The sequence below is a fragment of the Homo sapiens genome, chromosome 2, assembly GCF_000001405.40.
Source record: "Homo sapiens chromosome 2, GRCh38.p14 Primary Assembly".
In the NCBI taxonomy this organism is placed as follows: domain Eukaryota; kingdom Metazoa; phylum Chordata; class Mammalia; order Primates; family Hominidae; genus Homo; species Homo sapiens.
Window position 1 is genome coordinate 11,479,763 of NC_000002.12, and position 20,652 is coordinate 11,500,414.

Consider the following 20,652-nt stretch of genomic DNA (forward strand, 5'->3'; position numbering starts at 1 on the left):
AGACATAAAACAAGTGGGTCAGGTTCCAGGAAAAACATAATCATTTGTACTTGTGTGCTTGTATTTAAATCAATGAACTAGGAGCGGGGAGGTGATTCATTAAATAAGAAAATAATAAACAACTTTTCATCGAATCTCATTTGTTTTCTTAGCTGAGAAAAGAATTACATTAATTAGTTCTACCAACTAATGAATTCTTAGTTGGTAGGAGTTTATGCATTTCTAAAATTCATTATAGATATTCAAAAATAGGATTAAATGGTTTCTCTCAAAGTCATTGTATTAATTAGTTAAGGTATGGGACATCTTCCTAGGAATTTTTCCCTCAGTGTAACATCATATTCATTTTGATTCTTCTGTTGAGCCAAATTACACTTTTGTCATGATTGAAAGATTGCCTATTTAAAGAAAGGAATTCATTTATGTAATGAATTATTCTATAGCAGGAGTGGGAAATCTAACTATAGCCCAGGGGCCAAATCCATTCAGTTGACTAACTTTTGCTTTTTATTTTTGTTTTACAGTCCAAGTAAGTATATTTTTACATTCTCAAAAGGTTACATTTAGGTGGGGAGCAGGGGCTCGTGCCTGTAACCCCAGCATTTTGGGAGGCTGAGGCAGGATAATTACTTGAGGCGAGGAGTTCCAGACCAGCCTGGGTGACAAGAGCGAGACCCCCTATCTCTAAAAAAAAAAAAAAAAAAGTTACATTTTAAATGGTTTATGTAAGCCTCAACTCTGCATCCTAGAAGGCAATGCCTAAAATATTGGCCTCTTGCCGTTTAAGAAAAATTTGCTGACCTCTGTTCTATGGGATTTTATCTGCTTGGTAAGACACAGCTGTCAAAACGTAAAGAGGAAAAAATGTAAGGACATTTTTCACAGTGATTATTGGTTTAGCAGTTGCAGTAAGTAACCCAAACCATAGAGCAGACATTTGGGCTAATGTTAATTCAACATCATTATTCTGCACGTTTTTACTAGAGTGGCTGAAATGAGCTATACCCTAGAAAGATAAATGCAGTTCAAGAATGCTCACTGCAGTCTTCTTTATAATCTCAACTCAAATGTCTATCAACAGAAGAATGTATATATGACTTGTGCCCTACTCATACAACGGAATGCTATTTAATAGTTAAAATGAATAAACTAGAGCTATATGGATGATCAGATGGATCTTATAATCTTGAGCAAAACAAGACAAACCGACCGGGTTACAGAATGAAACAGGAACACACAGGAAGTTGTAAAAATCTTCTGTATGACTTATGAACACACGCATATGCAGTAATAGTATAAAAACAGGAATGGGATGCTTTGGAAGAGTACTCGGGGTGACATGAGGAAGGCTTCCAGGGGCTTTAACTGTATTGCAATATTCATGTCTTAAACATTTGAAGCAAGTGTGGCCCGATGTTAGGATTGGCTTGTTCTTGAGCACATGGGCTCTTTACATTACTCTCCTAGTTTAGCGTGTGTTTGAAAATTTCACAATGAGAAAAGTCAAATGCGGGTGTTTGAGCTATTTCATGATGAGAAAAGGAAAATGAGGGTGCTGCCAATCAGAGTATGGCGAGCTGCAGGGGTTCACTCACGATGCACTTTTACTGAGGACCTGTGTGCTGGCAGGTGCTGGGGGCTATAACCTCACTCCCGGCTTCTTTTGTTTAACCGCCCAGATTCGTGAACTGTGACTTTTCAGGGTGTTTTCAAAGACAGTGGCTGTTAGGCCCAAGGCCCCACTGTGGGTCCTGGGGGTGAGTGGCAGGGGGCCCAGGGACGGTTTCCTGACTCCAGTTCTGCTTCTGGCTGCCTCCTGAAAACACAGGGGCCTGTCTTTTTATTAAAAAGAGAGAGAGAGAGAAAGAAAAAAAAAGAAATCTCTAGTTCTCTTTGTTTCTTGTCTCAGCTTCTTTGCTAGGGGCCACCTCAGCAGCAGCCGCCAGTGAGGACTGAGGGACTCATTTGAGGTTCGTTCATTTCTTCCTTCCTTCACTCATTTTTTCCGACCTGGCTGTCACCAGGAAAAGCTGGCCGGGTTCCACCCGCAGGGGTCCATCGTTCCAGAATCTTCCTTTTCCTCTCTTGACCTCAGGCTGGGCCCTCATGGACCGCTCGCCGACCTCAGCTGTTGGGGACCGGGTCCCTCAATCTCCGCGTCCTGAGCGGTCGGCGGCGGTGGGGAGAGGGCGGCGGGTGCCCCCGGTCACCGCGCTCGGTCGGGCTCAGTCCCGGCGGCCGAGCGTGGGGATCCGGGGGCCCCTGGGGTGGAGTTGTCCGGAAGCCTGGGCTCCACTCCTGCTGCCTCACAGCCTTGCCGTGTCCCGTCTGGGCGCCTGCGTTCCCAAGTGACAAAATGACCTCGCTCCTCCGAGGGGTCTCCCAACCTCTGTCCAGATCTTCTTCCCCGCTAAGTGCCCTGTCACCGGAGGGGATGTCCAGTGTGACCCCGCGGGAATGTCGGGGTGCTTGGGCCCGGGGGTGGGACAGGGCTGCTGCAGGGAGGGCAGCCCCCGTAAGAGGAGGGAGGACGGCGACACCGCTGAGCGCAGACGGCGCGCGGAGCCGGGGCTGGGCGCTCAGGTGCGAGGTTCCGTCCATCTTTCTGAACCCACGCAGGTGGGCGCGGGAAGGGACCCGGCAGCCGCCAGGGCAGGGTCAGCTGGCGGGGCAGCCCCGCACGGTGACCCTCCTTGGGTCGCGGGGAGCCGGGCACGGGAGTGGGGGAGCGCGTCTTTGTTGGGGAGGAGGGCGGGCGGGACAGGGTAAGACTGGGGTTCCAGGCCCGGGGCGCGAACCCGGGTGGGAGGGCGCAGGGGGCTCCCCTCTGTCCCTGTCACCTCCACCCATCGCCGGCCGCCGCTAGGGGTTCCGGCCCCGCGCCCTCCCCCGACCCTTCCCCGGCGGAGGTCCTGGGGCAGCCAAGCCCACCGCCCGGCCCTCCTCCGCGGCCGTCCCGAAGACCCGGAGAAGTGGACCACAGGGGGCGGCCAGTGTCAGGGGTCGAGTCCTCCGCGCTGGCCGCGGTTCCGGAGATCCGGGCTTTGCCGAGCGCCCCGCGCCGTGGCCGGGGCCGGGGCCAGGTCCGGGTGCGGGGCCTGGCGCTGCGGCCGCGAGCTCAGCCTGTAGGCTGGGCTAGCCTCCGTCGGCGGCGGGCGCTCAGGAGCGGGGCCGCGGCGGCCGGAGGACAAAGGGCCCGAGGTAGGAGCGGTCCCTCCGGGCGGCAGCGGGCGGAGCGGGGGCGCGGGGCTGTGCGGGGCTGCTCGGGGCGGGCACTCGGCGCCCGGCGGGGAAGGTGCGCCCCGCCGGACGCGGGCACTTCCTGGCCCTGGTCCCGGGAAGGAGGTGGAAGGTGTCCGGGATCGGCCCTGGCAGCGTGTAGGGACCTGGGTGCTGCCGCTGCCGTGCGCTTGTGCGTGCGTGTGCGCGCGGGTATAGGTGTGGGCGCGCGTGTGTGTGGGGTGTGCGTGCGTGTGCGTGTATGGGTGTGCGTGTGTGCACGTGTGTGCGTGTGTGAGTGCGCGTGTGCGTGCGTGCATGTGTACGCGTGTATCGGTGTGCGCGCGCGTGTGTGTGTGTGAGAGAGAGAGAGCACCCGAGGCTCCTGGCGCTTGGCACATGGTGAGCCCTCGGTAGGTGGGAGCCGTGAACAGTGACGGTGATAATCGTATTGCAAGGGTGTGTGTGTGTGTGTATCTGCCTCTGTGTTTAGGGAGACTGTCTGGAGCCCAGAGTGGCAGCCACATGTCCCCAGCACTTGGGACCCGGGAGAAAATTTTGGGGTATCTTTCCTGAGTGGCTCTGGGACGGTGGTTTAGGGGCCCCTGCACTTGAAGAGGATGCTTCAGGGGAGGTGGGGACTTCCTAACTGGATCCCAGTTTGGGTCCTGGGAACAAAGGCTGCTTCCCCGAAGTACAAGAAGGGGTGTGTGTGTGTGTGTGTGTGTGTGTGTGTGTGTGTGTGTGTGTGTGGCCCGGCCACCAGGGCGCCGGCAGCTGGAGACTGGGAGAGCCGCCATTCATGCAGAGGGACTCCGGGCCATTTTGCTGTCAACTCTCTTTGATGCCTGGTCTTGAGGACCTGCAAAAAAGAACTACTTACTTTGTATACTGAAGCTTTTCTTTAATAAACTTTTATTAGAGAGTTAAGTGTTACTTCAGGGCTTGAAAGACTTTTTATTATCCCTTTAAAACAATAAATGTGTAAATTTAGCTTGAATAAACACTCTTTTATTCCCAGTGAAAGCACTTTAATTTCTGCATTTAACCTGGGAGTTAGACATGGGGATTCTGAGCTCCATCTTCTATAAATATTGTGGTCATGCCGCCTGGTTTGTAGCACTTTGTTATTGGGAGTTTTAAAGGCCAATTAGAATTCCACTTCTCGATCCTCTTAGGATTTCTTAAATCTCTGGGCAGATTTGCAGAATTGTTCATAAGCAATCCATTGTTTCCAGACCACTGTTTCTGACTGCTTTCTCAGAAAAGTATGTTTCTAGGAAACAAAAACCAAATTTAAAATTGAAACAATTAAACGGAACACAGGTGAGGAGATCTTTCTACAGGTCTTTTTTCATGCCAAAATCTGGTTCATTTAAAGTTTGCAGTGTTATCTGTGGCATTTCCAGTTCCCAGCTGCAGTTCATGAGGCGTTCTGCTGTTCTTGCAGGGACAAGCATTCTTTCTTGAGTAAGAAGTTAACTCAGGAGGCAGGCACGGCTCACACCTGTAATCCCAGCTACTTGGGAGGCTAAGGCCAGAGGACTGCTTGAGGCCAAGAGTTCGAGACCAGCCTGGGCAACATAGCGAGACTCTCATCTCTTAAAAAACAAAAAAAAAAAAAAAAGAAAGAAAGAAAAAGAAAGAAAAAAAATTAGCGAGGTGTGGTGGCACATGCCTGTAGTCCTAGCACTTGGAGCCTAAGCTGGGAGGGTCTCTTGAGCCCACGAGTTCGAGGCTGCAGTGAGTTATGATCGTGCCACTGCACTTCACTGCACGTAGCAGGGGGTGAAAAAAGCTGAGGCTGAAACTAAATTCTGTCTTGGCCTTTCTTGTTATTGCAGATGGTTTAAATAGTTTTTTTTGTTTGTTTGTTTGTTTTGAGACGGAGTCTCGCTCTTTCGCCCAGGCTGGAGTACAGTGGCGCAATCTCGGCTCACTGCAAGCTCCGCCTCCCGGGTTCACGCCATTCTCCTGCTTCCTGAGTAGCTGGGACTACAGGCGCCCGCCACGGCGCCCGGTTATTTTTTTGTATTTTCAGTAGAGACGGGGTTTCACCGTGGTCTCCATCTCCTGTCCTCGTGATCTGCCCGCCTCGGCCTCCCAGAGTGCTGGGATTACAGGCTTGAGCCACCGCGCCTGGCCTGCAGATGGTTTAAATGGTTTATTGGTGGTTTAAAATGATTCCGATTCATGAAGATAGCCAGTTGGACCAATATCTGAAATCTTTTGCTGGGTAGGTAATTAGAAGCAACATTTATTTTATTTTATTTTATTTTATATATATATATGTATTTTTTTTTTTTTTTGAGACAGAGTCTTGCTCTTTTACCCAGGTTGGAGTACAGTGGCACAATCTCAGCTCACTGCCAACCTCTGTTTCCTGGGTTCAAGTGATTCTTGTGCCTCAGCCTCCTGAGTAGCTGGGATCCCAGGTGTGCACCTCCATGCCCAGCTAATTTTTGTATTTTTAGTAGAGATAAGGTTTCACCATCTTGGCCAGGCTGGTCTTGTACTCCTGGCCTCAAGTGATCCACCCACCTCAGCCTCCCAAAGTGCTGGGATTACAGGTGAGAGCCACTGCACTAGTCGGGAAGCTACATTTGAAACATCTGTGTTTCTCACTTGTCACTTTCAATAGGAGAGATTTTGATCTCAAACAGCCTTTCTGAAAGGTTTCTATGCTTGGTACGAAGTTGATCACTGTTTCTTTCATTTAGTAAGCAATTTATTGAATACCTGTGGCATTATAGATGTTCATTCTAGTACTATCATTTTACTTGACATTAGAAACCCCCTTTTAAAGAAAACTGTGTTCACTTTGGGGATTCAAAATTTGAATTATTTAGAGATTCCAGAGTGTTCTGAGGCTATTTCAAAGTAGAGCTAATCAATGGTTAGAAAATCAGGATGGGAAGAAGATAAGTGTAACATAAAGAGAGAGGTCAAGCCCCCTGCATGCTACCCATGACCAGGCACCATAATCAGGATTGAGAGTGACCAGGACATTTAAAGGAAAGGCTGTGGGATGGGCTGGTGACAGGAACTTGCTTTCAATAATCTCACCTTTCTCCTTTTAGCATTCTCTGTTCCAGACTTGGAAAGGAAGCAGTTAGGGCTTTCGAGGGGGCAACTAACCATTAGGGCTGACTTTGGGCAGTTCATAGAACTCTGGGCTAGCTATTCCAGAGCGTCCAGGGTGACCTGTAGTTCCTTCATAATGACGCCAGGCAGTTAACCCTCCCAGCTCTTACACTGCCTTAATGGAGAGTCTTGGAATCTATTGGTTCAGTTTCTGGACATACACATATATTGTAGTACTTTTAAAAAAAATTTAGTTTTAATTGTAATTTTTGTAGAGATGAGGTCTCACTATGTTGCCCAGGCTGGTCTTAAAGTCCTGACCTCAAGTAATCCTCCTGTCTCACTCTCCTAGAGCACTGGGATTATAGGCAACCTCGCCCAGCCTAATTGTAGTACTTTAAAGCTAATTGCACTAAAAAGGCAGGGGAAGGCTCTCATAGAAGTAATATATATTTGTGACGTAAAATTTAAGAAAATACAGAAGAGTTAAAAAAAAACAAAAAACAGCCAGGTGTGGTAGCTGATGCCTATAGTCCCAACGCCTATAATCCCAGCACTTTGGGAGGCTGAGGCGGGTGGGTCACCTGAGGCCAGGAGTTCGAGACTAGCCTGGCTAATGTGGTGAAACCCCGTCTCTACTGAAAATACAAAAATTAGCCAGGCGTGGTGGTGTGTGCCTGTAATTCCAGCTACTTGGGAGGCTGAGGCGGGAGAATTGCTTGAACCCGGGAAGTGGAGGTTGCAGTGAGCTGAGATCACGCCATTGTACTCCAGCCTGGGCAACGAGATCGAAACTCCATCTCGGAAAAATAAACAAACAAAAAAACAACCACAGAAATCTATGATTTAGATATAGTTACTCTGAACACTTTGGTCTATTTTTTCCTGTTATAAAAATGAAATTCTATATGCTTCTAAAAGTTAGTTAAAATTATATTAGATGATATAATTTTATATCTCATTTTAATGTAATATATTATGGACATTGCTTATTTCAATATCAATATTTCTTTGACATTATTATTTTAAATAACAATTTCATGGTCTATTGTGTTGATAAATTGTCATTTCAGTATTTCGCTAGTGGATGCTTGAGCTTTGCCTATCATTTGTACTTTTAATGTTCTAATTTGGTAAAACGTCATTGATTGATGGTAGTACACATTTCTCAAACTTGACTGCTCTTAGGAAGTGACAAAAATATTGAATTTCAGGGACGTGAAATGAAAAGAGATGAAGCCTTGCCTCAGTCCTCTTGATCTCAGTGGGTATAATCTAGCTGACTCTTAACTGTCTCTGATGCCACTGTTCAACCCCGTAGGACAACGCTTGCTTTTTATTTATGCCATCATATTATGGGCTTCTTAGGAACAGATATTTATGTCTTAATTTTGTCTGCATCCCTTGAGTCCCCAGCCAAGGCTTGGCAAGCCATAGATGTTCAAAACACACTGTTTTCCTGAGGGAGAGGGTATATTTTAGGGGTAGTGTGAGAGACTGAGCCCTTCAGAAATGTGCAATGACAAATCTTGATCCAACTGATTCCGATAACTTCTTTTTGATTATGGAAAATTTCAAACATATCTAAAACATGTGCAAAAATAGAACGATTGTGAGCCTCTGTGTTCATCATTCAGCTTCAGCAGTTGTCAAGATTTTGTCAATTTTGTTTCTTGTGTTTCCTCCCTCCCCACACCACAACCCTTTTGGATCACTTTAAAGTAAATCCAAGACATTATATCATTTCATGCCCCTGGTGTTTTTGACCACGAGTTTACATCAGAATCCAATGAGAAGGGAATGTCTTCTGGGGCTCAACAAAAGGCGGTGGACTGCCTGGGAGGTTGTGGCACAGGAAAACTGGTGACCTGGGAGTTGGGGACCTACCATACTTATTTAGTTTTGACCTCGACAGAGGTGGTTCGCCTCTCGGGGCTCAGGTTCTCATCTGCTCCTTGAGGAGGTTGGCTTGGGTAACCTAAAAGCTTCCTTTGACGTTGACTTTACTGAAGCATATGCTCTGCCTGTCTACTGTGGTGGTTCTCAAATTCTAGTACCTGGACCAGCATCAGTGTTGTCAGGGAACTTGTACAAAATACAGATTCTCTGGCCCCTCCTTAGACCAACTCGGAAACTCGGGGGGTGGTGACCAGCAGTCTGTGGTTTAACGAGCCTCTCCAGGGGTCTCTGTTGGGTGGTCAACCTTGAGAACCATGAATCCATGAAGGTGGCCGAGGAGTCTGTAAGCTCTTAAAATAAAAACAACAGAGACGAAACCTCCTGGAAAGTGCGCATTTACTTGCTTGCAGCTCTGTAAGTCAACCGAACGTTAGACTTCTTCCCTCTGTGCAGAATGATACTGGCTGTGGAAGGACAGTGAGATCTTTTGTTGATCAGGAACTCTGACTGAAAGTTAAAGTGATTCATAAAGATTTGGGAAAGAGGCCGGGTGCAGTGGCTCATGCCTGTAATCCCAGCACTTTGGGAGGCCGATGTGGGTGGATCATCTGAGGTCAGCAGTTGGAGACCAGCCTGGCCAACATGGTGAAACTCTGTCTCTATTAAAAATGTAAAAATTAGCTGAGTGTAGTGGTGGGCGCCTGTAATCCCAGCTCCTTGGGAGGCTGAGGCAGGAGAGTGGCTTGAATTTGGGACGTGGAGGTTGCAGTGAGCCGAGCCTGTGCCATTGTACTCCATCCTGGGCAACAAGAGTGAAACTCCGTCTCAAAAAAAAAAAAAAAAAGATTTGGGAAAGGAATTACCAGATAAAATCTATCTGAACTGGGGCATATGTAGGCAGTTTTCATTAAAAAAAAAAAAAAAAAGATTGAGAAGCCCTTTATATGACACACCGCATTTGCAGTGACATATTTATTTGTCTGATATTGTCTCCTCCCAGTATGCAACATAGGTGATTAGATCACTTTTGGTCACCCTTGTATCCCAGCACTCAGTACAATGGCTGGCCCATAGGAGGTACTCAGTAAATACCTGATGAATAAATGAGCTTTTGTTCTTTAGGGAACTTATGAAACTCTGGATAGAATGCCAAGCCTCATACTGGTAGGAACAATTAGAGAACAATTAAGAATTCTACTTTGGGCCGGCCGGGCACAGTGGCTCACACCTGTAATCCCAGCACTTTAGGAGGTGATCAGATCACAAGGTCAGGGGTTCGCAGACCAGCCTGGCCAACCTGGTGAAACCCCGTCTCTACTGAAAATACAAAAATTAGCCACAAAAATTAGCCGGGCGTGGTGGCGCGTGCCTGTAATCCCAGCTACTTGGGAGGCTGAGGCAGGAGAATTGCTTAAACCCCGGGGATGGAGGTTGCAGTGAGCCAAGATCGCACCACTGCCCTCTGACCTGGGCGAGAGAGCCAGACTCCGTCTTGGGGGAAAAAAAAATAAATAAAGAATGCTACTTTGAAGTCTTGCCCCCAAATGTAGGAGACAAAAGATCATTGAGACAAAAGATCATTTAGTTTCATATTTCTCAAATAACAGTATTGTATTATGTGCTTAGCAATGTCTTAGACTCCGGCAGAGAACTATGGAGGCAAGAAAAGAGAAGAATAAAATAAGGGACTCATGCGTGTAAGAGTAGTTCATTGACTTACATATCTTTCATTGCATGGCCTTGCAGACTCAAGAGTTAGTTGAATAATTATTACTATTATAGCCACCACTTCTTGACAATCTACCATGTAAAAGTATTTTAGGTGAATTGCCACTCTCTTTACAACTCAGCAAAGTTGTTATTATCGTTCCCATTTTATAGGTGAGGAACAGGCTCAGAAGTGGCTTGTTAAGGCTGAGCAGTATCTGAATGTCAGAACCGTATTATTATATATTATAATTGTAGTACAATAACATATATATTTATGTATTATATTACTAGATATATAACAAATAATATTGTAATTGTATTACAATTATATACTCTATTATATTACAATTATATATGTTATATATATAATTATAATACAATTTTACAGTTTATGTGCTACAAAAGTTACCTTTTTAGAGAATACAGTTCAGTGCTTTTAAATATATTCAGAGTTGTGCAACTGTCACCATGATCTAATTCCAGAACATTTTCGTCACCCCAGAAAGAAGCCCCAGACCCATTACAGTCACTGCCCACATCCTCCTCTCCCAGTCCCTGACCACCACGACTCTGCCTTTTGCCTCTATGGCAGATTTGCCTATTGTGGATATTTCATATAAATGGAACCATGTAATATGTGGACTTTTGTGTCGAGCTTCTTTTACTCGGCATGTGTTTTCAAGGTTTACCCGTGTTGTAGCATGTATCAGAACTTCGTTTCTTTATATGGCTGAATAATATTCCATTGTATGGATATACCACATTTTATTATCCATTCATCAGACTGATGGATGTTTGGGTTATTTCACTTTTTGGCTATTATGAATGATGCTTGTAGGAATCTTCATAAACAAATTTTTGGTATGGAAATGTGTTTGTCTTTTTCTTTTTTGAGACAGAGTCTCACTCTGTTGCCCAGGCTGGAGTGCAGTGGTGCCATCTCAGCTCACTGCAACCTCTGCCTCCAAGGTTCAAGTGATTCTCCTCTCTCAGCCTCCTGAGTAGCTGGGATTACAGGCGTGCAGCACCACGCCCGGCTAATTTTTGTATTTTTAGTACAGACAGGGTTTTGCCATGTTGGCCAGGCTGGTCTTGAACTCCTGACCTCAGGTGATCTGCCCGCCTTGGCCTCCCAAAGTGTTGGGATTACAGGGGTGAGCCACCACACCCGGCCTTGGAAATGTGTCTTTAATTCTCTTGGGTACGTACTTTAGGAGTAGAATTGCTAGGTCCTATGGGAACTCTAAGTTAACTTTTGGAGGAACTGCCAAGCTGATTTCCAAATTAGCTTCACCATTTTACGTGTCTACCAGCACTGTATAGGGGTTCCTTGTATGGGGGTTCCAGTTTCTCCACGTCCTTGTGCACAGCTGTTACTGTTGGTCTTTTGGCGATACCCATTCTAGTGGGTGGAGAGGTCTCTCACTGGGGCTCTGATTTGCTGTGGTGTGGATTTTCTGTGGTTTAGATCCATTGTTTTTATAGGTTTGCATTTTTCCTACTTACATTATATTCTAAACATTACCAATAAATGGATCAGTACAGCACTGTCTTAATAATTTCCTTGGCATGGTATAAATTTCTGTATCTACTGTTTTCATGATTTAGAAATCTTAAAATGATATCTGCATATTAGTGTGTTCAAGTTTTGTTTTATTTCTTTTAATACAGCTTCTTTGGTAAAATGTCCAAATCCTGACAATGTTATCAGAAGAATGACTTATTAGAAGGCTGAGTTAAAGCTAAAGAAATGGGCTAAATCACTAAAAAGCTTACTAAAGGTTTTTAGAATTAAGTCTGAGAGTAGGGCCAATGACTTAATTCTTACCTTTGGGCTCAGAATGTAATATGATATGACTGAAATCAGAGAGGATTAGAAGCATGTTTTGTCTCTAGCTGAGACTTGGAAGAGCTATTCCACCTTCTTATACCTCCATTTAATCATCTGATAATGACAATAATAATTTCCCAGAATTTTCGTAAGACTGAATATTTTGTTCATGAAAAGTGTTCTTGGCATGTAGTAGGTCTTAAGTAAACATTAGCAGCCTCCCTGTCTGGTTCCCAGGAGTGAGGCTGGAGGCCATAAGTGGCTTAACCTTCTAGTTCCAGGCCCAGCAGCCAGTTTTCTTCAGTTTCTCCTCTTCACCAAGAGCTCATTGACATATTTGGATGCCTGGTTTCTGCCTTGTTCTAATGCTTGGTTCTCTGTGCTCAGTTCTGCGAATTACCCTTCTACCGATTAGTTTAGTGCTCTAATCCACTATGTATGTGAGGCCTGGCCATCTCTGTTCCAACCTCTTTCAGTGACTTCTAGTGTCTGCACCCTGACTCGGTGACTAGTTCCCACTTCTTGGGACAGCTGCCCTTGGTGCTATTGATTTCACGGTCCTCTTCCCTGGATTCCCCATGGCTCTTCCAGCCGTCTGGTTGACTCCCTGCCTGGCTACCATGCATCGTTTCCATGGTCATTTAACGTGGCACTTTACTCTGGGATTGTTCACCTAGCACTGGAGCATCGTCATGGACACGCCAGGCCTGAGTGGGCTCTTCCCTCATGCCCACCCCACTTGGTAGAAGCAACCATGCCACATTTGGCTAAGTCTGAAGTTAGGACAAAAACATCCCTCATTCTTTCTTCTCCAAACCCTCAGTGTGCTCTATCAAGAAATGCTTGTTGGTTGGTTTGTTTCTTGGTCAGCCATTGAAGACTGAGTCAGCTGTACTCCTGGCCATGTGTACAGAATTTCCGCAAAAGGAGGACGATAAATTGGGAGCTCAGCTGTGTTATCACAGTCTGTGATCTGGAGCCGGCTTTGCATGGCAGAGGCTCATTCTCTGCTGTGAGAAGTTTGGGATGAGGGGTGGGTTTCTGTGAGACCCTGACCTGGGTCCCCCCTGAGCTGAGTTCCCACTCACTGGGGCCTGTGAGTGCATGAATGGGGGTGGGGACAGTGGGAATCAAGTTTGCCAGAATCAATGTAAGGGAAGAGAAAAGGGTAAAAGTTTGTTTTGAGGAAAACAGTCTTTCATCTGGACTGTGCCCTAGGGCAGCCCCCTTGAGACTCACACTGAAGGCCTCCTGGGGAGGGAACTGCAATGAGAAGGTGACCCCTAGTGCCTGTGGGGCCAGCAAGAGTCTCCAAGGCAGTTGTGCCAGGCAGTACCCACAGAGGGTGTGCCCTAGGAAAATGGCTCCTTATCTGCTGGGGGCTGGTCACAGCTGGAGCAGAGACCAGACAGGAGTAATGCAAACCAGCAAGACTAGGCTTAAACAATGGGAGCTGAGGCTCAGCAGCTGGAGATATCCTGTCAGGAAGCAGAGCCCAAGTCCCAGGAAGGGCTGATGGCAGCTGCTGGCCTTGAGCAATTGTCCCAAGATGATTGATCGTACAAACCTATCAATGAAGACACCTTGAGTAGCATCCCAACTATATGATTTTCAACTTGGTTAAACAATAAGCCTCCACTTCATGTTGTCCATAGGCTTGTGGAAACTGCGACATGAAGGGAAATGAGGTATGTACTGTATGCCATAGGACTTGAACCTTGTTTATATCAATTAGCCCAGCAGCCCCCAACCTTTTTGGCACCAGGGTCCAGTTTCATGGAAGACAATTTTTCCACAGACAGGGTGTGGGGGAGGGTGAAACTATTCCACCTCAGATCATCAGGTATTAGATTCTCATAAGGAGCGTGCAACCTGGATCCCTTGTAGGCGCAGTTCACAATAGGGTTTGAGCTCCTATGAGAATCTGATGCTGCCACTGATCTGACAGGAGGTGGAGCTCAGGTGGTAATGACAGCAATGGGGAGCGACTGTAAATACAGATGAAACTTCTCTTGCCCACCGCTCACCTCCTGCTGTGTGGCCTGCTTCCTAACAGGCCATGGACCAGTACCAGTCTGTGGCCCGGGGACTGGGGACCCCTGAATTCGCCTATGTAAAATTGGTTTCCTTATACAGTATGTTATACTGAGCCAGTATTAATGCAACCTTATGTTTTTGAAGGTTGCATTTTTTTCCCCAAAATTTTAGAGAGCAGATTTAGTCAGTTCTTTTGACCAGTAAGTCCTTATTGAATGTTTGCTCTGTGCCAGGCATGGTAAGAGGCACATGAGGTATAAGTTGCAAACTCTGACCTCTGGGGGCAATTTGTAAACTCCAGAGATGTAAGGTATTGCTGTTATCCTTACAAATGGCTACAGACATGAGACAGGTTTAGAGAGGGTAGAATTTGAGCTGGTGTGTTTGGGGGCTTAGGAGAAATGAATCTGATGGAGAAAAGATGAAAGAAGAAATGAACAGTTGCTGACCTTTTCCCGAGTCCAGGTACCTTACACAGGCTGCTTCACCACTCCTTATGTGGTAAGCCAGAGTGTGGTACCCATTGTAAAGATGAGGAAACGGAGGTGCAGGAAAGCCTAAGGACTTGCCCAGGGTTGCGCGGCCAGCAGATGGTAGGGAACCCGTTTTTGTCTTACTCCAAAGTGGGAGAGAGGCTGGACAGAGCCAGGGTGAGAAGATGGGCTACAGGGGCAGTCTGATCCGGGGGTGCCCCCAACACTGAAGCCGTCTTCCCTGACTTGTCACCACAGAGACTCATGAAATTTTGGAGTTATCAGACACCCTCTGGATCCTCTAGTGTGGTTTATAGATGGGCTGTGGCAGCATCACCTGGGAAATCAATAGAAATGTTCATTCTTGGGTCCCCAGACCCTCTGAATGAGATTCCCTGATGGGGGTGCCCAGTGCCATCCAGGTGCATCTTATGGATGCTGACAGTTGAGAAGCATTGCTGTGGACACTGCTCTAGAGTTGTTCTCGTAAGAGACTGATGGAGGGGAACTTTGGTCTAGAAATCCGGAGTCCATTCCTGATGCAGCTGCTGACTTCTGGTTTCCTTATTTGGCCCTGTCTTTCAATGATGATAATCCTACACCTTTTTTAATGGGAGTGATCTGAGTGGTTAAGCTAATGGGTGTGTAGTTAAGAGCTGGTCACCTGGAGTCCTATAGACTCAGGGTCAAATCCAAGCTCAGTGACACTTGGGCAGGCTACTTAATGTTCTCTAGATCTGTTTCTTTATCTGTAAGATGGGGTCAGTAATAATCAACACCCATGGGGTGGCTGCCAAAATCCAGCGAGTTTACACCGCAGGTGCTTAGACCATTGCCTCATACATGAAAAGAGCCCCCAACTTGTTATGACTCTTATTATTAGTGTCATCATCACCCATGACCTGTCTTTGGGGCCTGGCCTCAGAGGTGCTCACCGTTGGTGGTGTTCAGTTTTCATGGCTCTCCACATCTCCTGCTCTGTTCCCATGGTGGTTGCTCTGTGTCATTCTGTGACGTTTTGGGAGGAGGGTCTCCCCCGCTTGCCCCTGCCCCCGGTGACATTGATTGGTCTTCCTGGGGAATCAGGCCTGTTACATCGTCTGCTTATCTCCATGCCTCTTTCTATAGACATATTGCTCCTGAGCCATGTTGAGCATCTCACTGGGAAGAAGATTGGTGGTTTTACACCACCAGCTGCTGTCATTCACTAAGTCCCTACTTTGTGCCAACATTTTACATTAGCACTAAGCTACACCGTAGCCTCAGAATGTAAGGACTAGGATACACATTCTACAGATGTGTAAACTGAGGCTCAGAAATTTACTAACTGGGTGGGACTATATGAACCTGCCATTTTTGTAGGTGAAAATTGCAGCATATTGGCAATTTCATTCGGTATTTTTTTCATACAACATAATTGTTTTTCCACAAAATTTAGAAAAAAATGGCCTCAAGGAAGTTTTCTTATTTCTTCTAACCAAACTGTTACCTAAAAGGATGCATTAAAAAAAAATAAGTTGGGGTCATGCACTGTTCCAAGCACTTCACGTGTAACTCACTCAATCCTCATGACAACCTTACGAGGTAGATGGGATTTTTATTATCCTCGTTTTGCAGAGTGGGAAACTGAGGCACACAGATGTTAAGTAGCTTGTCTGAGTCCACACACCTGGGAGATGGCTGAGACAAGAGTTTGGACACACACAGTTTGGGCCCGGGTCCGAGCGCCTAGCCTCCGCCTATACTAGTCCGTTGAATCTTGGTTAGGATAAGTCCCCCCGTTTTTTTTTTTTTTTTTGAGTGAACGGGATTTTCGGTGTTGCAGAACTCGATGAGTGGGGGAAGGAAGGGCCCAGCGTCACTGAGCTCCTCTGTGAGTCTGTGCGTGGCGCTCCTCTTCTGTCTTTGCAGCAGCCTTGGGACGGACGTAACGGCAACCCCGTTTTCCAGGTGAGGATAACCAGACTGGGAGAGGGTAAGGAGGTCACAGCTCCAAAAAGCGGCACGGCTGGGGTTTGAGGCTGTGCCTGACTGTGAAGCTGGCTCTCCTTATCCGTGGCGCTTCCTCCCTCTCCGCACGCAGTGGAGGTGCTGCTGGGACTGTCCTTGAGTCTAGCAGATGCGTCAGCCTCTTTACTTCCTCCCAGAAAGTCGACCTCCTGTGCTCGCTCTGTGGAGATCAGGCACCGGCCACTGTGCGCTGATCCCAGCTCACAGGGATGCAAATGCCTTTCAGATTTGGGCTGGGGTCACCAACAGGGTCTTCTTTCAATGATTCGATCACCACGGATGGGAACAAAAATGCCTTGTTAGGATGTGAACCCTCTCGGTTTATATTTGTCTCAGGTCATTTACATGAGTGAAAAGGACTGGCTCTGACCTGGCCCTTGGATGCTCCCTTCTAATCCCCATTAATATTGTATAAAGGTTTCTAATACCCAGAGAGATTTCTCACACAGGAGACAATGGCAAGCAGCAGCGACTTATCTTCCCCACCCCGCCCGCCCCCCCGTCACATGTCTGACGAACAAGGGGGAGGTCTGGATGAAAGGACGCTCTGCTTCTCAGGTCACACAGCGTTATGGCAAGCTGCTAGCAAGAAGAATATTGTTAAAATGCTGATCTATAGTATTTATTAAATTTTAATTCAAATTTTTATTTCGAGATAATGGTATATTTACATGCACTCATAAGAAATAATACAGAGGTCTCATGTACCATATACTCAGTTTCTCCCAATGATAACATTTTGCAAAACTATCATACACTATGGCAACATTGATACAGTCAAGATACAGAATAGTTCCACCCTGATAAAAACCCCTCATGTTGCTCTTTTATTTATTTTTTATTTTTTTGAGTTGGGGTCTCATTGTGTTGCCCAGGCTGAAATTCAGTAGCGTGATTATAGCTCACTGCAGCCTCGAACTGTCATGCCTGGCTAATTAAAAACATTATTTTGGTAGAGATGGGGTCTCACTTTGTTGCCCAGGCTGGTCTTGAACTCCTGGCCTCAAGTGATCCTCCTGCCTTCGCCTCCCAAAGCACTGGGATTACAGATGTGAGCCACCACGCCTGGCCTGTACTGCCCTTTTATAGCTGTGGTTAATTCTCTTTCCCACCCCTGGCAATTGGTGATCTGTTCTCTATCTCTATAATTTTGTCAATTCAAAAATATCATATAGATGGAATTATATAGTATGTGACCTTTTGAGGTTGACTTTTCTTTTTTCCTACTCATTGTAATTCTCTGGAACTTCATCGAGGTTGTTTTAAGTATCAGTGGTTCATTCCTTTTTATTGCTGAATTGTCTTTCATGATATTGATGGACCACAGTCTGTTGAACCATGAACTTGTTGAAGGATATCTGAGTTGTTTCCAGTTTTTGGCTCTTATGAATAAAGCTGATATGAACACTTGTGTACAGGTTTTTGTGTAAACATATGTTGTAATTTCTATGGGATAAATATCCAAGAGTGCAATTGCTGGGTCTTATTTTAGTTGTATTTTTAATTTTGTAAGAAACTATAAAAGAGTTTTCCAAAGTGACTGTACCATTTCACACTCCCACCAGCAATGTGTGAGGATCCAGCTTCTCTTTGTCCTTGCCAGCATTTGATGGTGTCACTGTTTTTTATTTTAGCTGTTATGATAGATGCATAGTGATGTCATATTGTGGTTTTAATTTGTATTTTCCTATTGAGTAATGACACTGAACATCTTTTCGTGACTTATTTGCCATCTGTATATCCTCTTCAGTAAAACATCTCTTCATGTCTTTCGCCCATTTTCTAATTCACTTCTTTTGCTTTGTTATACTATTGAGTGTTGAAAGTTTTAAAATATATATATTCTAAGTACTAGTCCTTTGTTGTATATGTGGTTTGCAAACATTTTCTTCCATTCTTTAGTTTGTCTTTTCATCCTCTTAACAGGGTCTTTTGCAGAGCAAAACTTTTTTTTTTTTTTTTTTTTTTTTTTTTTTTTTTTTTTTTTAAAGACAGAGTCTCACTGTGTCACCCAGGCTGGAATGCAGTGTCATGAACACGGCTCACTGCAGCCTCGACCTCCTGGCAGAGCAAAACATTTTAATTTTTATGAAGTCCAATGTATCCACTTTTTATTTTATGGATTGTACTTTTGATGTCAAATTTTAAAACTCCTTAGGCCTAGATCATAAAAAATTTGTTTTTTCCAGAAGTGTTATAGTTTTATGTTTTATGTGTAGGTCTATGATCCTTTATGAGTTAATTTTTGTAAAAGGTTTAGGTTTTGTAAAAGGTTTAGGTCAAGGTTCATTTCTTTGCCTGTAGATACCCAGTTGTTCCAGCACCATTTATTGAAAAAGCTGTCTCTCCTACAATGGATTGCCTTTGCATTTATTTATTTTAAGATTTTAAGAATTCCTGCTTTTTATTACCAAGTCAAATATATAGGGACACAACAGTACCTAAAGTTTGCATAATAAATTATGATATTCACCGATGTTCACATAGCTAATTCTAGGCTTCAAGAGGACCACAAAGAGTGTTCAGCTTCGGGACACCGTGAGTCAGAACTGGGGGGCAGTGAGGTGGGGACGTGGGTCAGGGGACAGCCAAGCTGGCCAGGTGATGGGAGTCTGAGTTCCTATGCAGTTTTGCTGCTGGGCAGCTGGGCAGCCTGCCTGCCTGGGGAGAGGGTGGTGACACTTGGCGTCCTGGGCTGATCTGGGGCACACTGACCCACGGGTGGAGCTGACCTTGTGGTAGGCACGGGCATGACTGGGCTGGGTGCCCGTTTTGTCTCCTCTGTCAGCTGCAGACTCACCGAAACTGCTGACTGATTTCAGTTGTCAGCCCCTGTGACATCTCTCCCAGCCCCAAATGTGGCGTGCAGCTGCTGGCTGCTTAAAAACCTATGCAGAGAACATGTGGAACTCAAGTGCTATTTTGGAAGTGTGGGTTTTCATTTTAAAAAATGGTTATGATTTTAAAATGCTTAATTACACAAACATGTTCCTGGTGGTGGGGGGGTGGAACATAAAAAGCACAGATAAGCAACATGTATCTGCAATCCCCATAAACACAGAATTATTATTAATTGTGGAAGGCAGATTGTCTTTTTTGTTTATTTCATTCCAAAACTCCATTCTTACTCCAGTTGGGTCATGAAGACACAAAGCTGGTTTGGAAAAAAGGAAATGTCTTTTCAATGGCTGAATCTGGAGAGAATGTTTGACACTGCTAACCATGCTGCAAATGAGGTCTTTGTGTGTGGGTGCAGGGGTCAGCCTGGGAAACAGCAACAGCAAGGGGTGGGCACACACAGGCCGGCTGCAGCCAGTGCTACGAGAATGATCTTTTGTTTCCGCTGGTCAGCCGTTCAGGATGAAGGCTGAAAACATCAAAGACATGTCTAAACACTGTTATCTGGCCATGTCCTTTGCCCTGACTGTGTAAGGGGTCTCTCTCCATGGGGAATAGAGCCCTGAGCTTAGCTTCTACTGTGCTGTTAATTTCAGGCAAGAGCAGATCAATAATATTTGCATTAGCTACTTACATCAGTCTCTTTTGTTCTGAGGAAAATTTGTTGATTTATTTATCTGATGAAAGTAATTAAAAATCACTTTCTTTACATCTCAAAAATTACATGTGTTAATTGCAGAAAACTTATAAAGCATGGAAGAATACAAAACAAAAACAAATTCCTCTACCTGGACATGACTGTTGTTAGCATTTTGGGAGATTCTTCATATCCTTTTAATGTAGATATGCACATTTTACAAAAAAGGCTATCATATTGTACATATAACTTTGCTGTAGGTCTGCTAGGAACCTGTACCCATGTCATTACTGTAAGCATTCTACTACTCAAATTTTAGTATCTGCAGATATCAGATATCCTTTTACATAATTTCTTTATATTATAGAATTGTTGCTTTAAAAAAATTGAAATGGTATTGTTGCCCTTTCTGATTAGTAAAGTATACTTTTTTTTTTTTGAGGCGGAGTCTCACTCTGTCACCCAGGCTGGAATGCAGTGGTGTCATCTCAGCTCACTGCAACCTCTGCCTCCCGGGTTCGAGCAATTCTCCTGCTTCAGCCTCCTGAGTAGCTGGGATTACAGGCATGCACCACCATGCCTGGCTAGTTTTTTAAAACTTTTATTTATTTATTTATTTGAGACGGAGTCTCACGCTGTTGCCCAGGCTGGAGTGCAGTGGTGTGATCTCGGCTTACCGCAACCTCCACCTCCCGAGTTCAAGTGATTCTCCTGCCTCAGCCTCCTGAGTAGCTGGGATTACAGGCGTGTGCCACTACGCCTGGCTAATTTTTATATTTTTAGTAGAGATGGGGTTTCACCATGTTGGCCAGGCTATTGAACTCCTGACCTCAGGTGATCTGCTCGCCTCGGAC

At 45.5% G+C, this 20,652-nt stretch overlaps 1 protein-coding gene across 9 annotated transcripts in view, besides 3 other annotated features; it reads left to right on the forward strand.

Annotated features, from left to right (window-relative positions):
• Positions 3,126-20,652, forward strand: part of GREB1 (growth regulating estrogen receptor binding 1) — a 159,901-nt gene continuing 142,374 nt past the window's right edge. For 5 of the 9 annotated variants that reach the window (XM_047446466.1, XM_024453251.2, XM_047446468.1 and 2 more), the window contains exon 1: positions 3,126-3,201. The gene's annotated coding sequence lies outside the window, so the exon portion shown is untranslated. Of the gene's footprint in view, positions 3,202-3,575; positions 3,633-16,113; positions 16,204-20,652 lie in introns of those variants that run through there. The other 4 variants (XM_047446460.1, XM_047446465.1, XM_047446475.1 and 1 more) reach the window with 2 other exon arrangements.
• Positions 4,681-5,182: an enhancer, noted in NCBI's record as "H3K4me1 hESC enhancer chr2:11624569-11625070 (GRCh37/hg19 assembly coordinates)". NCBI's record gives its function as "activates a minimal SCP1, AML or CMV promoter by ChIP-STARR-seq in naive H9 embryonic stem cells {active_cell/tissue: H9 hESC(naive)}" and the evidence as "EXISTENCE:reporter gene assay evidence [ECO:0000049][PMID:30033119]".
• Positions 18,435-19,220: an enhancer, noted in NCBI's record as "H3K4me1 hESC enhancer chr2:11638323-11639108 (GRCh37/hg19 assembly coordinates)". NCBI's record gives its function as "activates a minimal SCP1, AML or CMV promoter by ChIP-STARR-seq in naive and primed H9 embryonic stem cells {active_cell/tissue: H9 hESC(naive and primed)}" and the evidence as "EXISTENCE:reporter gene assay evidence [ECO:0000049][PMID:30033119]".
• Positions 19,221-20,006: an enhancer, noted in NCBI's record as "NANOG-H3K4me1 hESC enhancer chr2:11639109-11639894 (GRCh37/hg19 assembly coordinates)". NCBI's record gives its function as "activates a minimal SCP1, AML or CMV promoter by ChIP-STARR-seq in naive H9 embryonic stem cells {active_cell/tissue: H9 hESC(naive)}" and the evidence as "EXISTENCE:reporter gene assay evidence [ECO:0000049][PMID:30033119]".